This window comes from Homo sapiens, chromosome 16 (genome assembly GCF_000001405.40).
Source record: "Homo sapiens chromosome 16, GRCh38.p14 Primary Assembly".
NCBI classification, from domain to species: Eukaryota; Metazoa; Chordata; class Mammalia; order Primates; family Hominidae; genus Homo; species Homo sapiens.
The window spans coordinates 31,728,152-31,744,036 of NC_000016.10; the positions used below are offsets into that span (position 1 = coordinate 31,728,152).

The following is a 15,885-nucleotide window of genomic DNA, read 5'->3' on the forward strand; positions in this document are numbered from 1 at the left end:
GCCCACTTATAATTTTTTGAGTCCTCTCTCTTTTTGATCCTTTGCTTAATCTGGCCAAAAGTTTCTCAATTTTGTTTTCTTTGAAAAACTCAATTCAGTTTCTTTGATCTTTTCTATTGCCTTTCTAGTCTTTATTTAGTCTCTTTTTGTTCTAATTCTTACTATTTTCATAATTATGCTAACATTGGGATTATTTTGTTCATGTTCAAGTTTCTTGAGGAATTGAGTTAGATTGCTTATTCAACATCTTTTTTTTTCTTAATGTAGAACTTTATTATTATAAACTTCTGTACTAGAACTGTTTTGGTTGCATCACAGAAGTTTTGGTTTCTTGTGTTTCCAATTTCATTTGTCTCAGGATATGTTTAGATTTTTCTTTTGATTTCTTCTTCATCCTATTGATTTTTCAGGAGTGTGTTGTTTAATATTTACGTATTTGTGAATTTCCAGTTTTCTTTCTGCTATTGATTTTCAGTTTTATATCAGTGCAATCAGAAAAAAAAACTTGATATAATTTTAATCTTTATACATTTGAAAAGACTTACTGCTTTTTACTTTTGGTTTAACATGTGATCTGTCCTGGAGAATATTTCATGTATTCTTAGAAGACTGTATTCTCATATTGTTGGATGGGATGTTATATGTACATTTAGTCTATAGTGTTATAGTAGTGCACTGCTTTCTTAATTTTGTGCCTGAATGATCTATCCATTTTAAGTAGGGTACTAATGTTCTCTTTTGTTGTATTTCTGTATATTTCTCCTTCCAGTTCTGTTAATGTATGCTTTATATATTTAAGTATTCCAGTGTTGGGTGCATATATCTATTTAATTGCTCTATCCTCTAGACAAATTAACCTCTCTATTATTATATAGTTAACTCCTTTGTCTCTTGTGACAGATTTTGTCAGACAGCCTGTTTTGTCTAATGTAAGTATAGCTACCCCTGCCTGCACTCTTTTGTTTATCATTTGTATGGAATATCCTTTCCAGTTCTTTCACTGTTAGCTTATGTTTGTCCTTAAATCAAAAGTGAGTCTCTTGTAAGCAACCTGTCACTGGATTTTTAAAAATTCATTCAGCCACTGTCTGTTTTAAATCCATTTTGTGCTGCTATATCAGAATATTCACAGGGTATTTTATAATGAAATGGGTGATTTATAAGGAATACAAATTAATTTAGCCTGTGATTCTGGAGGCAGGGAAGGCAGAGAGCATGACACTGGCATCTGGTGAAGACCTTTTTGCTGCATAATAACATGGCCAAAGGCACGAGGGGGAGAGAGCTCCCTTTTATAACAAACGCACACTTGTGATAATTAACCCACTGCTGTGATAAGGACATTAATACATTCATGCAGGCAGAGCTCTCATGGCCTAATCACTTCTTAAAAGTCCCACTTCTTAATTCTATCACAGTGGCTATTAAATTTTAACCTAAATTTTGGAAGTGACATTCAGTCTTTATCAATGTCTGTTTATTGGATAATTTAATCTCTTTATATGTAATTATTGATAGGTAACTATTATAAGTTTGTTTTCTATTTTATACTTTGTTTCTTTTTTCCTCTTATGCTTTGGTCATGTTAATTTTTTGTCTTGTTTTTGTTGTTTTTATATACTTTGATTACTTTCTTTTTTTCTTGTATCTACTACAGTTTTTTTTTCTCTAGTGGTTATAAGACTTACATAAAACATCATATAACAGCCTAGTTTAAGATGATAATTATCCAACTTTTATGCATAGAAAAACTCTATGCTTTTCCTCCCCTTCACACATTTTATACTATATATGTCACATTTTAAAACTTTTTATATTTTGTATTCATTAACAAATTATCATAGCTATACTTTTAAAAAATAGTTTTGTTTTATAGTTCTTATACTAGAATTAAAAGTGACTTATGTACCACCATTACAATATTCGAGTATTCTGAATTTCACTATTTACCATTTCCAGTGATGTTTGTAGTTTTAATGTTTTCATATTTAGTTAGCATTTCATCACTTCAACTTGAGTAATTCCCTTTAGTCGTTTAGCATTTCTAGACAGGTCTAGTGGTGATGAATTCCTTTAATTTTTTTTTTGGTGGGGGGGTCTTGAAATGTCTTCATCTCTCTTTTATTTCTAAAAGATGCTTTGTTGTGTATAGCCTACTTAGTTGTCTTTTTTGTTTGTTTGTTTGTTTAATTTTCCTTCTTTCAGCACTTTTAATATATGGTATCACTCCCATTTGGCCTGTAAGGTTTCTGCTAAAAAATCTACTGATAACATTATAAAGTTTCCCTTGTATGTGAAGAATCTCTTATTTCATGCTGCTTTCATGATTCTTGCTTTGTCTTTGAATTTTGACAGTTTAATTATGATATGCCCCAGGGGAATCTTCATTAGGTTCTTCTTGCCATGGGTATTTTGAGCTTTATGAAACTTCTTGTTCATATCCTTTTCCAGATTTGGGGAGTTTTAAGACATTATATCTTTAATCTTTTTTCTTCTTTCTTTCTTCTTCTGAAAATCCTAAAATATGTATATTTGTTCACTTTATGATATACTATACAGGCTATATGCTTCCTTCATGCTTTCATATTTTTTTCTAATTGATTACTTTCAAATGACCTGTCTTTAAGTTTGCTGATTTTTTTCTTCTTTCATGATTGAGTCTCTTGTTAAAACTGTTAGATTTTTTCAGTTCTTTCATTGTTCGCTTTAGTTCCAAGATTTCTATCTGGTTCCTTTTAATGGTTTCTATTTCTCTGTTAAAACTCTCATTTTGTTCAAGTATTGTATTATAAAACTTTTTAGTTATCTATCTGTGTTCTTTTGCATCTCATTGAAATTCTTTAAGATGATTATTTTGAATTCTTTGTCAGCCAACTTTCAGATCTCCATTTCTTTGGAGATGATTACTATGGCTTTTTAATTTCCTTTGGTGGTGGTAGTTTGCCTGATTCTTTATAATCTGTGTAGGCTTATGTTTATGTCCCTGAATGTGAAGGAGCAAACCTCTCTTCCAGTCATTATAGACAGTTTTGGGAAATAAATACTTTCTTCTTTCAGATCCTGAGCTGATGAGATTTTGACTAAGATTGCACCTGAGTGTGTTGGAGCCATGTCACATGACTGCTACTGGGTCTGCAGTGGGTTTTATGGTTGACAGACCTACTAGCAGGGCATAGATAGTCATGGATCCCGTCTCTTCTCTGGGAAGACAACTTTCTTCAGGATCTTGAGCATTGGGGCTGGTTCTAAGATAAGGAATTGTAGTTGTTTCTGCAGAATGGGGGTGCTGATAGAATAGATGTGGACAGGTGTGGCTCCTGCGGAGTCTCTGGGAGTGGTTTCATCCAGTCATTGAACAAGTCACTGATGGACATGACTGACCCCTGGTCACAGCTGAGAGGGTCTGGAACTGATTCATAGGGGTGCTGCAGGATATGGGCCCTGGGCCCATGGCTTGTCTCCTTCCAGGTTTCTCATTGAGCAGAACTGCTCCCAGACCCTGGCTGACAGAAAGTAGAGCCAAACTTACAGGGCTACTTTAAGATTCACAGTGAGACTAATGTCAGCAAGTCTAGCTCCAGGGGCACAGATGTGTGTGCTTTCAGGCAGGTCCCAGGTTGAGCAAAACTCCTGACCTGTGGCTGCATGAAACTGAAGCAAAGTTTCAGTGCCACTTCAGGATTCCCATTTGGGTCAGTGTTGACAGTTCTACATCCAGGGGCACAGATGGATATTTTTTCCTGAGGGTCTCTGTGTGGACAGGATTTTTTCCAGACCATGACTGAGAGTTGACAGAGATAGATTTTGCCTTATTCAGGGAGCACAGACAAGACCAGGATCTTCAGGCCTGTCACCTGAATCTCAAGTGGGAATGAATCCTCCTGGATTCTTGGAAGATTTTTTGAGTGGCAGGACCAAGACCAAGTGAGCCATAGCTAAATCTACAGTCAGATATAGCAATTTTTTTGTTTTGTGTCCAGAACCATGATCAATAAGCCTACCCTTCGGTTAAGGACTTGTCCTCAAATTGTCCTCCTTGATCTTGGGCTCCAGCTGGGTGTCAGAAATTGTGACCTGGATTGCAAAGCTCCCATAAAGGCAGTTGTGTTTGGCATGGCTGCCACATTATGTTGTGAGAAATATGCATGGGGGCCTCCTATTCTGTCATCTTGCTTATGTTTCTAATCTTGTATGTTTCCCTTTCTGAAATATATATCAAATTTGTCTGATTTTTAGATTCAAAAGTTCTGAAATAAAATGCTGAAATGTACGCATTGTATAAGATGTAAATTAGATTACTAGTGGGTACCACATATTTATTAATATGTTTGATTATAAGTTTAAGTTTACTGCAAGCAAAAAAGAATTGTTAAGATTTATATATTTTTTTAGCCTGTATTTAAATGATGTATAATGTAATCCCAAATACTGACTTTACATTTCAGTAATTCTCACCATATTTTGCAACATTTATGTTGTTCCTGTATTTGGAAATAGAAAGCTTTTATTTTTAGCTTCTAAAGACTTTATTATAGCCATTATATTTTATGTAAGAATAGCACCAATATATTGATAACATGATAAAGAAGTCTTCCTAGTGTCTTTTGAATATTTACTCATTAAAATTTTCTCATTAGAGCTAATTATTAATGATTGTAATGCATTTCCTGTGACATTTTACTGCCATTCATTGAATGGCATTGATTCAAAATGCCTGTTCTTCATGGGTGTACACAGTTGATAGTTGTAAATATCTAAAGCATTATTTTTTAATAGAATATCTATGATGTATTTATTATTTTATGCACTAAAATTTCTCTTATTCTTGTTATTGATTCCATATGATTGTGTTTCTTTTTTTTCAGATAGGTTTCCTTAGATCAGTTAATTGTATTTTTGCTTTTCAACCTTGATATTATGAATTGGATGATAATTTTCAACTCTGTACACTTTAAGACAATATGATGTTTAGATATGAATTAGCTATATGCCTGTTGCTTATAAAATACTACGTGTTATTCATCTGTATAAATATTGCCTCTACTTTGTTCATGACTTATCTTGTATATTTTTTTTTCTTAGCTGTTAATGATTGCTTTATTCTGTCTAGATGAGTAGTTAAGGAAATAATCTTAAATTCACAATCTATTGTTTGGATCTATATAATTATGTGAGAGGAACACTTTTGTTCTTTGAAGGTGATTTTTGAAACATTTTATAACTATCTCTTTTAGGTAGTCACATTTTTAATGGTGAAAACATAATTGTCATCTCAAACATTTTTAAGTGTACAGTTTATTAGTGTTAAGTATAGTCATATTGTTTTACAAGAGGTTTGTAGATCATTTTTATTTTACAGAAGTCAAAGTGAATACCCATTAAACAACAAATTGTCCTTTCCACACTTCTCTCCAGCTCCTGAAGAGCACCATTCTGCCTAATGTTTCTATGAGTTTGGCTACTGTAGATACTTTATGTAAGTGTAATTAAACAGTGTCTCTTTCTTTTTGACTATCTTATTTCACCTGACATAATGTCCTCAAGGTTTGTCCTTATTAATACTTGTCAAAATGTCTCTGATTTTTAAGGCTCAGTAATGTTCTGTTGTGTATGTGTGCCACATTTGTTTAATCTGCTCATCCATAAAGGAACATTTTGATTGCTTCCAGGTATTGTCTTTTGGGAGTAATGCTGCAGGGTACATGGGTGTGCAAACATCTATTCCGCGTTCTGTTTTGAATATGCTTGGAATATTTTGGATACACGGATGTAGTACCATGTGTATGTTCTTGCTTTTTGTTGCCTCATCCTTTGATATTATATCCAAAAAATCATTGCCAAGACCAATTTTCATGACCAAGCTTTCCACTTCTGTATTTTTCTAGGAGTTTTATATTTATAGGTTTTATGTTTAAGTTTTAGTTTGCTTTTTAAATTGATACAATGTTAATTGTACATATTTACGGAGTACAATTATATATATGTGTGTGTGTTGTATAATGATCATATCAGGATGTTTAGTGCATTACCTCATGTATTTGGTAATTCTTAGTGGTGAGAACATTCAAAAGTCTCTCTTCTAACTTTTTTTTTTTTTTTTAGCTTTTATTGTTTGTAGAGACAGGATCTCACTGTGTTACCCAGGCTGAAGTGCAGTGGCACAATTGTAGTTCACCATAGCTTCAAACTCTTGGGCTCAAGTGATCCTCCTGCCTCAGCTCCCCAAGTCGTTAGGACTACAGGCATATGCCACCGTGCCTGGCTAATTTTAAAAAATTTTTGCAGAGATAGGGTCTCACTACATTGTCCAGGCTGGCCTTGAACTCCTGACCTTAAGTGGTGCTCCTGCTTCCGCCTCCCAAAGTACAGGGATTATAGGCATGTTACACTGTGACTGGCCTTTTATAGCTATTTTGTAATATGCAATACCCTTCTATTAACCATTGTTACTGTACTGTGTAATAGAACACCAGAACTTACTTCTCCTGTGTAATTGTAACTTTATACCTGTTAACCAACCTCTTTCTATTCCTCCCCCTTCAGTCTCTGGTAACCACTGTTATACTCTGCTTATATCAGCTTTTTTTTCCTTTTCTTTTTCTTTTTTTTTTTTAAGACAGAGTCTTGCTCTGTTGCCCAGGCTGGAGTGCAGTGGCGTGATCTCAGCTCACTGCAACCTCTGCCTCCTGGGTTCAAGGTATTCTCCTGCCTCAGCCTCCTGAGTAGCTGTGATTACAGGCATGCACCACCATGCCCAGCTAATTTTTTTGTATTTTTAGTAGAGACGGGGTTTCAACATATTGGCCAGACTGGTCTTGAACTCTTGAACTAAAATGATCCACCCCTCTTGGCCTCGCAAAGTGCTGGGATTAGAGGTGTGAGCCACTGTGCCCTGCCCGCCTGCCTGCCCTTTCTTTTCTCTTTTCTTTTCTCTTTTCTTTTCTTTCTCTCTCTTTCTTTCTTTTTTTCTTTCTTTCTTTTCAGGTTACTCATTTGAGTAAGATCATGAAGGGTTTATCTTTCTGTATATGGCTTATTCACTTAACATGATATCTCATGGTTCATCCATGTTATTGCAAAGGACAGGATTTTATTCTTTTTTAATGGCTGAATAGTAATTCATTGTGCATTTACACCACATTTTCTTTATCCATTTATCTCTTGGTGTACATTTGGATTGATTTCATATCTTGGCTGTTATAAAGAGTGCTGCAGTAAACATGGGAATGCAGCTATGTTTTTGACACGTTGATTTCCTTTCTTTTGGATATATACCCAATAGTGGAATTGCTGAATCATATGACAGCTGTATTTTTAATTTTTCAGGAACCTCCATACTCTTTTATAGTGGCCATACTACTTTACAATCCCATCAACAGTATATATGTGTTCCTTTTTCTTCACATCCTCACCAATACTTGTTTTAGTTATATTTTTTGTCTTTTTGATTATAGTCATTTTAACTGGAGTGTGGTGGTATCTCATTGTGGTTTGTATTTGCATTCCCTTGATGATTAGTGAAGTTGAGCATCTGTTTATGCACCTTTTGGCCATTTGTATGTCTTCTTTTCACTAATGTCTATGAAGGTCTGTGGCACATTTTTAAATTGGATTGTATGTTTGTTTTATTTTGAGATTTCAAATTTCTTATATACTCAATATTAACCTCTTGTCATATGTATAGTTTGCAAATGTTTTCTCCCATTGTCTAGGTTGTCTCTTCACTCTGTTATTTCATTTCATATGCAAAAGTCTTTTAGGTTGATGTAATCTCATTTGCCTATTTTTGCTTAGGTTGCCTTTGCTTTGAAGTCGGAATTTCCAAGTCCGATGTTGTAAAGTATTTGCCCTGTTTTCATCTAATAGTTTCATAGTTTAGGGCATTACATTTAAGTCTATAATCCATTTTGAGTTGGTTTTTGTATATGATGAGGGTTAGGGGTCTAGTCTTATTCTTCTGTATATGGATATTCAATTTTTCCTGCACCGTTTATTAAAGAGATTGTCTTTTCCCCAAAGTGTGTTCTTGGCATCTTTGTTGAAAATCAGTCAGCTTTAGGAGCATGAATTTATTTATGGACTCATTGGGCATATTGGTCTATGTGTTTGCTTTAATGCCAGTATAATGCTGTTTGGGATACTGTAGCTTTGTAGTAAATTTTGAAGTCAGGTAGTGTGATGCCTTGAGCCTGCTTTGTTCCTTTTGCTCAGGATTGCTTTGGCTATTCAGGGTATTTTGTGGTTCCATGTACATTTAGTTTTTTTTTTTTTTTTCTATTTTTGTGAAGAATGTCATTGGTATTCTGATAGAAATTGCGTTAAATCTATAGGTCACTTTGGGTAACATGCCCATTTTAATAATATTCTTTTTTTTTTTTTTTTTAAGATGGAGTCTTGCTCTTGTCACCCAGGTTGGAGTGCAATGGCGCGATTTTGGCTTACTGCAACCTCCGCTTCCTGGATTCAAATGATTGTCCTGCCTCAGCCTCCCAAGTAGCTGGGATTACAGGCACCCACCACCACGCCCAGCTAATTTTTATATTTTTTTGATAGAGACAGGGTTTCACCATGTTGACCAGGCTGGTCTTGAACACCTGACCTCAGGTGATCCACCCGTCTCAGCTTCCCAAAGTGCTGGGATTACAGGCGTGAGCCACTGCGCCTGGCCCATTTTAATAATATTCTTCCAATATATAAACACAATATATTTTCATCTATTCACATGTATTTCATTTTTTCATCCATGTTTTATGATTTTCAGTGTAGAGATCTTTCACTTTTTTATTTAAGTTTATTGCTGGGTATGTTAATTTTTTATAGTTATTTGTATACACAGAAAAAGTATTTGACAAAATTTAACTTTCTTTATAGTGAAAACTCTAAGCAAATTATGTATAGAAGGTATGTATCTCAACACAGTAAATATGACAAACCAGTGTTAATATATCAAACAGGGAAAAGATGAAAGCTTTTTCTCTGAGATCTGTAACATGATAAGGATACCAATTTTCACCACTCCTATTCAACATAGTACTAGAAGTTCTAGCCAGAGCAATTAGTCAAGAGAAAGAAATAAAAGGCATCCAAATTGGAATGGAAAAATGAAATCGTCCTTGTTTACAGACAATATGACCTTGTTTATAATAAAAACATAAACATGACACAAAAAACCTGTTAGAACTAATGAACAAGTTCTGTAAAGTCGCAGGATACAAAATCAACATAGAAATTTCAGTGGCATCTCTGTGTGCTGATAGAAAACCATCTGAAAAAGAAAATAAAAAATGTGAGTTACAGTAGCTACAAAAAATAAGTCAGTCCATTTTGAGTTCATGTTTGTAAATGTGCAAGGTAAGGTCCAACTTTATTTTTTCCCTTGTGGATTTCCAATATGCCCAATCCTATTTGTTGAAGAGACTGTCCCTTTTCTCATTGTGAATTCTTGGAACCCTTGTTGAATATAAGTTTACTATATACATGAGTGTTTATTTCTGGACTCTCCAATCTGTTTCATCTTTTATTTATCTTTATGTCAGTAGCAGACTGTTTTGAGTACAATAGCTATGTAGTATATTTTGAAATCAGAAAGTATGATGCCTCTTTGTTTTTCTTTCCCAAGATTGTTTATCCATCTGTGGAAGATTATTTATCCATCTGTGGTCTCTTGAGATTCCGTAGACATTTTAGACTATGTTAATACTTGTGCAAAAAGTTCCATTAATATTTTGATGGAGAGTACATTGAATCTGTAGATCACTTTAGGTAGTATTGACATCTTAACAGTATTGTCTTCAAAATCTTGAACAAAAGTGTGTTTGAGAGTTTATTTAATTTCCACATATTCATGGACATGCCATTTTTCTTTCTGTTTTTAATTTCTAGTTTTATTCTGTTGTAGTAAGAAGTGATGCTTTGTGTGATTGTCATCTGCTTAAATTTGGTAAAAGTTTTTTTGCAGCTTAACAGGTTGTCTATTGGTGATCATGTGCCATATATGGTTATGGATATTGTGTATTCTGCTGTTGAATGGTTAGTTCTGTATATGACTATTAGGTCTAATGGTCTATAGTGTTGTTCAGGTCCTCTGTTTCCTTATTGATCTTTTGTCTCTTATTCTTTCCATTACTGAAAGTGGAGTATGGAAGTCTCCTACTACTATTGTACTGCTGGCTACTTATTGCTTCAATTCTGTAAAAGTTTGCTAGTTGCTGCATATATTTGAGAGGTGTGATGTTAGGTGCATATATGTTAATATTTATTATAGCTTCCTAGACAGTGAACCCGTTTATAATTATATAATGCTCTTTCTTGTCTCTTGTAACATGTTTTGATGTAACATGTATTTTAACTAATATGACAGTATTTTACTTTGCACACTATTTTTTTTCCATTCTTTCATGTTCAGCTCATATGTGTTCTTAGATCTAAAGTTGGTTTTCCCTAGAAAGCATGGAGTTAGATCTTGTTTCTTGAATTTATTCAGCCAAATTATGTCTTTTGAATTTATTCATTTATGTATAAAGTAATTACTGAAAGGTATGACTCACCATTGCATTTTGTTCAATTTTTTGTTTTGGGTTTTGTATCTATTTTGGTCCCGTTTTCTTCTCTTGCTATCTTCCTTAGTGTTCTGTTGATTTTTGTAATGACATGTTTTAATTCCTTTCCCACTTCTCTCTGTGTATCTATTATAGGTACTTGCTTTGTGGTTACCATAGATATTATGTAAAACATCTTAAAGTTACAACAATTTACCTCAAGCTGCTAACCTTAATTGCATACAAAAATCCTGCCTCTTTATGAACTCTCCATTGTATTTTATTGATATCACAAATTATATCACTTTATACTGTGAATCCATTAGCACAGATTTGTGGTTATTTTAAAGTATTTGACTTTTCAAATCTATAGCAGAATTAAAAGTATTCTATGCACCATCATTATAATACAGAATATTTTACTTGTGTATATAATTACTGTTACCAGAACACTTTATATTTTTATATAATTTTGTGTTACTACTCACCATCATTTTATTTTTCAATGTGAAGAACTGCCTCTATTTAGCAGTTCTTTTAGAACAGATCTAGTGGATATGAATTCATTCAGCTTTTGTGGATTTTGAATATTCCTTATTTCAAAATTGTTAAAGGATAGTTTTGGCAGAAAACATTTTCTTGATTGGTAGTTGTCATTATTCAGCACTTTGAATATATCATTCTTCAACTTTCTGACCTGTGAGATTTTTTGCTGAGACATCTGCTGGTCATCCTAGGAATGGGCCTTGCATATGCCAAGTCACATTTTTTTTTTTCTGGCTTCTAAATTCTCTTTGTTCGTAACTTTTGAATCTCTGATTATAATGTGTCTTGTTGTGGATCTCTTTATGTTGCTACTAATTAGAGTTGGTAGAGTTTCATTAAATTTTAGGCCATTTTCTCCCTCAAATTTGGAAAATTCTCAGCCATCATTTCTTAAAATAAAGTTTCTACTCTTTCCTCTGTCTTTGCATTTTAGAATTCCCATTATGAGTAAATTGGCCTATTGGGAACAGGCCCCCAAATCTGGCCATAAACTGGTCCCAAAACTGACCATAAACAAAATCTCGGCAGCACTGTGACATGTTCGTGATGGCCATAACGCCCATGCTGAAGGTTGTGGGTTTACCGGAATGAGGGCAAGGAACACCTGGCCCACCCAGGGTGGAAAGCCGCTTAAAGGCATTCTTAAACCACAAACAGTAGCATGAGCCATCTGTGCCTTCAGGACATGCTCCTGCTACAGATAACTAGCCAGAGCCCATCCCTTTATTTTGGCCCATCCCTTTATTTTGGCCCATCCCTTTGTTTCCTGTAAGGAATACTTTTAGTTAGTCTATAATCTATAGAAACAATGCTTATCACTGGCTTGCTGTCAATAAATATGTGGGTAAATCTCTGTTCGGGGGCTCTTAGCTCTGAAGGCTGTGAGACCCCTGATTTCCCACTCCACATGCTATATTTCTGTGTGTGTGTCTTTAATTCCTCTAGCGCTGCTGGGTTAGGTCTCCACGACCGAGCTGGTCTCAGCATTGGCCTACTTGATAGTACCCCATTAGTCCCTTAGACACTCTGTTTTTTTATTTTTGCTGTCCTGACCATATACTTTCAAATAACCTGTTATCAAGCTTGTTGGGTTATTTTTCTGCTAGATCAAGTCTGCTGTTGAACCCTCTAGTGAATCCTTAAATTTAGTTATTTTTCAGCTCCATACTTTGTGTTTTTATAGTTTTAATCTCTGTTCATAACCTCATTTTCTTCATGCATTTTTGTCTTCTTTTGTTAATTTGTCTGTGTTCTCCTTTAACTGGTTAAGCATCTTTAAAATAGATATTTTGCTAGGCAGAGTGGTGTGTGCATGTAATCCCAGCTACTTTGGAGGCTAAGGCAGGAGGATCACTTGAGGCCAGCCTGGGCAGTATTGCAAGACCCTGCGTCTAAGATTTTTTTTTTTTTTAATTAGTTGTTGTGGCATGTGCCTGTAGTCCCAGTGACTCAGGAGGCTGTGTCAGGAGGATTGCTTTACCCCAGGAATTTGAGGCTAGGCTACATTGAGCTATGATTGTACCAGTGTACTCCAGTCTGAGTGACAGAGTAAGACCCCATTTTTTTCTGTTTCTTTTTTCTCTTAATATACTTTTGACTTTTATTTTAGATTCAAGGTGTACATGTGTTGGTTCATTACATGGGTATATTGCATTACACTGGTTTGATGTCTGAATGATCCCATCATCCAGATAATGAGCATAGTGCCTAATAGATAGTTTTTCAGCCCTTGCTTCCTTCCTTTACTGCCCCCATGAGTCCCCATTGTCTCTTTTCCCCATCTTTATGTCCATATGTACCTAATGTTTAGTTCCCACTTATAAGAACATGGTCTTTGGTTTTCTGTTCCTGTGTGTTAATTTACTTAGGATAACAGCTGCATCCATGTTGTTGCAAAGGACATGATTTTATTTTTTTTATGGCTGCATAGTATTCCACGGTGTATATGTACCACATTTTCTTTAGCCAGTCCACCATTGATGGGCATCTAGGCTGATTCCATGTTTTTGCTATTGTGAATAGTGCTGTGATGAACATATGAGTGCATGTGACTTTTTGGTAGAACAATTCATTTTCCATTGGGTATATACTGAGTAATAGAATTGTTGGGTCAAATGGTAGTTCTGAGTTCTTTCAGAAATCTCCAAACTGTTTTTCACAGTGACTGAGCTAATTTAATTACATTCCCATCATCAGTGTATAAGTATTATCTTTACTGCTGGCACTTGCCAGCATCTGTTTTTTGACTTTTCAGTAATCACTATTCTGAGTGGTGTAAATAGTATCTCAGTGTGGTTTTGATTTGCATTTTTCTGATGGGTAGTGATGTGTAACATTTTTTCGTATGCTTGATGGCTGCTTGTATGTCTTCTTTTGAGAAGTGTCTGCTCTTGCCCTTTGCCCACTTTTTAATGGGGTTATTTTTTTTCTTGTTAATTTAAATTTCATATGGATTCTGGAATTAGGCCTTTGTCAGGTAGATAGTTTGTGAATATCTTCTCCTGTTCTGTAGGTTATTGATTCTTTTCACAGTTTCTTTTGCTGTGCAGAAACTCTTTAATTAGGTCCCATTTGTCAATTTTTGTTTTTGTTACAATTGCTTTTGAGAATTTAGCCACAAATTCTTTGCCAAAGTCAATGTCTAGAATGGTATTTGCCAGATTTTCTTCTAGTATTTTTATTAAGTTTCTGAATTTAAATCTTTAATCATCTTGAGTTAATTTTTATATATGGTGAAATGTAGGCGTCTATGTTCATTCGTTTGCATGTGGTTAGTCAGTCATCCTAGAACCATTTATTAAATAGGGAGTCCTTTCACTATTGCTTATTTTTGTTGACTTTGTGGAACATCAGATGATTGTAAGTGTGTGCCTCTATTTATTTCTGGGTGCTCTATTCTGTTCCATCGGTCTGTGTGTCCTTTTTTAAAAAAAATTTTTTGTTTTTCTTTATTTCCTCAAAAAAAAAAAAGATGGGGGATACATTTGCAGAACATGCAGGTTTGTTACATAGGTATATGTGTGCCATGGTGGTTTGCTGCACCTGTTGACCCATTGTCTATGTTCCTTCCCCTCACCCACCCAGCCCCCACCAGGCCCTGGTGTGTGTTGTTCTCCTCTCTGTGTCCATGTGTTCTCATTGTTCAACTCCCACTTATAAGCGAGAACATGCAGTGTTTTGGTTTTCTGTCCCTGTGTTAGTTTGCTGAGGATGATGACTTCCAGCTTCATTCACGTCCCTGCAAAGGACATGATCTCATTCCTTTTTATGGCTTCATAGTATTCCATGGTGTTTATGTACCACAGTTTCTTTATCCAGTCTATCATTGATGGGTATTTGGGTTGGTTCCCTGTCTTTGCTATTGTAAATAATTCTGCAGCAAACATACGTGTGCATGTGTCGTTATAGTAGAATGATTTATATTCCTTTGGGTATATACCCAGTAATGGGATTGCTGGGTCAAATAGTGTTTCTGATTCTCGATCCTTGAGGAATCACCACACTGTCTTCCACAGTGGCTGAACTAATTTACATTCCCACTAACATTGTAAAAACGTTTCCATTTCTCCACAGCCTGGCCAGCATCTGTTGTTTCTTGACTTTTTAATGATTGCCATTCTGACTGGCATGAGATGGTGTCTCATTATGGTTTTGATTTGCATTTATCTGATGATCAGTCATGTTGAGATGTTTTTCTTATGTTTGTTGGTTGCATAAATGTCTTCTTTTAAGAAGTGTCTGCTCATATCCTTTGCCCACTTTTTGATGAGGTTGTTTTTTTCTTGTAAATTTGTTTAAGTTTCTTATAAATTCTGGATATTAGACCTTTGTCAGATGGGTGGTTTGTAAACATTTTTCCCATTCTGTAGGTAACCAGGCTTTTAGTTTAATTAGATCCCATTTGTCAATTTTGGTTTTCGTTGCAATTGCTTTTGGTGTTTTAGTCGTGAAGTCTTTGCCCATGTCTATGTCCTCAATAGTATTGCCAAGATTTTCTTCTAGGGTTTTTATGGTTTTGGGTTTTACATTTAAGTCTTTAGTCCATCTTGAGTTAGTTTTTGTATAAGGTGCAAGAAAAGGGTCTAGTTTCTGTTTTCTGCATATGGCTAGTCAGTTTTCCCAGCACCATTTATTAAATAGGGAATCCTTTCCCCATTGCTTGTTTTTGTCAGGTTTGTTGAAAATCAGATGGTTGTAGATGTATGGTGTTATTTCTGAGGTCTCTATTCTGTTCCATTGGTCTATATATCTGTTTTGGTACCAGTACCGTGCTGTTTTGGTTACTGTGGCCTTTTAGTGTAATTTGAAGTCAGGTAGCGTGATGCCTCCAGCTTTGTTCTTTTTGCTTAGGACTGTCTTGGCTATATGGGGTCTTCTTTGATTCCATATGAAATAAAAGTAGTGTTTTTCTAATTCTGTGAAGAATGTCAATGGTAGTTTGATGGGAATAGTATTTAATCTATAAATTACTTTGGGCAGTATGACCATTTTCACAATGTTGATTCTTCCTATCCATGAGGATGGAATATTTTTCCATTTGCTTGTGTCCTCTCTTATTTTCTTGAGCAGTGGTTTGAAGTTCTTCTTGAAGAGTTCCTTCACATCCCTTATTAGCTGTATTCCTAGGTATTTTATTCTGTTTGTAGCAATTGTGAATGGGAGTTTATTCATGATTTAACTCTCTGCTTGTCTATTCTTGTTGTAAAGGAATGCTTGTGATTTTTGCACATTGATTTTGTATCCTGAGACTTTTCTGAAGTTGCTTATCAGTTTAAGGAGTTTTTTTTGGCTGAGATGACTG

General features: G+C 35.0%; 1 protein-coding gene across 18 annotated transcripts in view; it reads left to right on the forward strand.

Annotated features, from left to right (window-relative positions):
• KRABD5 (KRAB domain containing 5) overlaps positions 1–15,885 on the forward strand; it is a 48,322-nt gene that overhangs the window by 14,908 nt on the left and 17,529 nt on the right. For 5 of the 18 annotated variants that reach the window (NM_001394177.1, NM_001394180.1, NM_001394178.1 and 2 more), the window contains one exon: positions 5,416–5,476. The exons of 12 other annotated variants lie outside the window; for them this stretch is intronic. In NM_001394177.1, coding sequence (NP_001381106.1) covers positions 5,449–5,476 — 28 coding nt within the window. In that variant the 5' untranslated portion in view covers positions 5,416–5,448. Of the gene's footprint in view, positions 1–5,359; positions 5,477–15,885 lie in introns of all 18 variants that reach the window. One more of the 18 variants, NM_001394179.1, reaches the window with a different exon arrangement.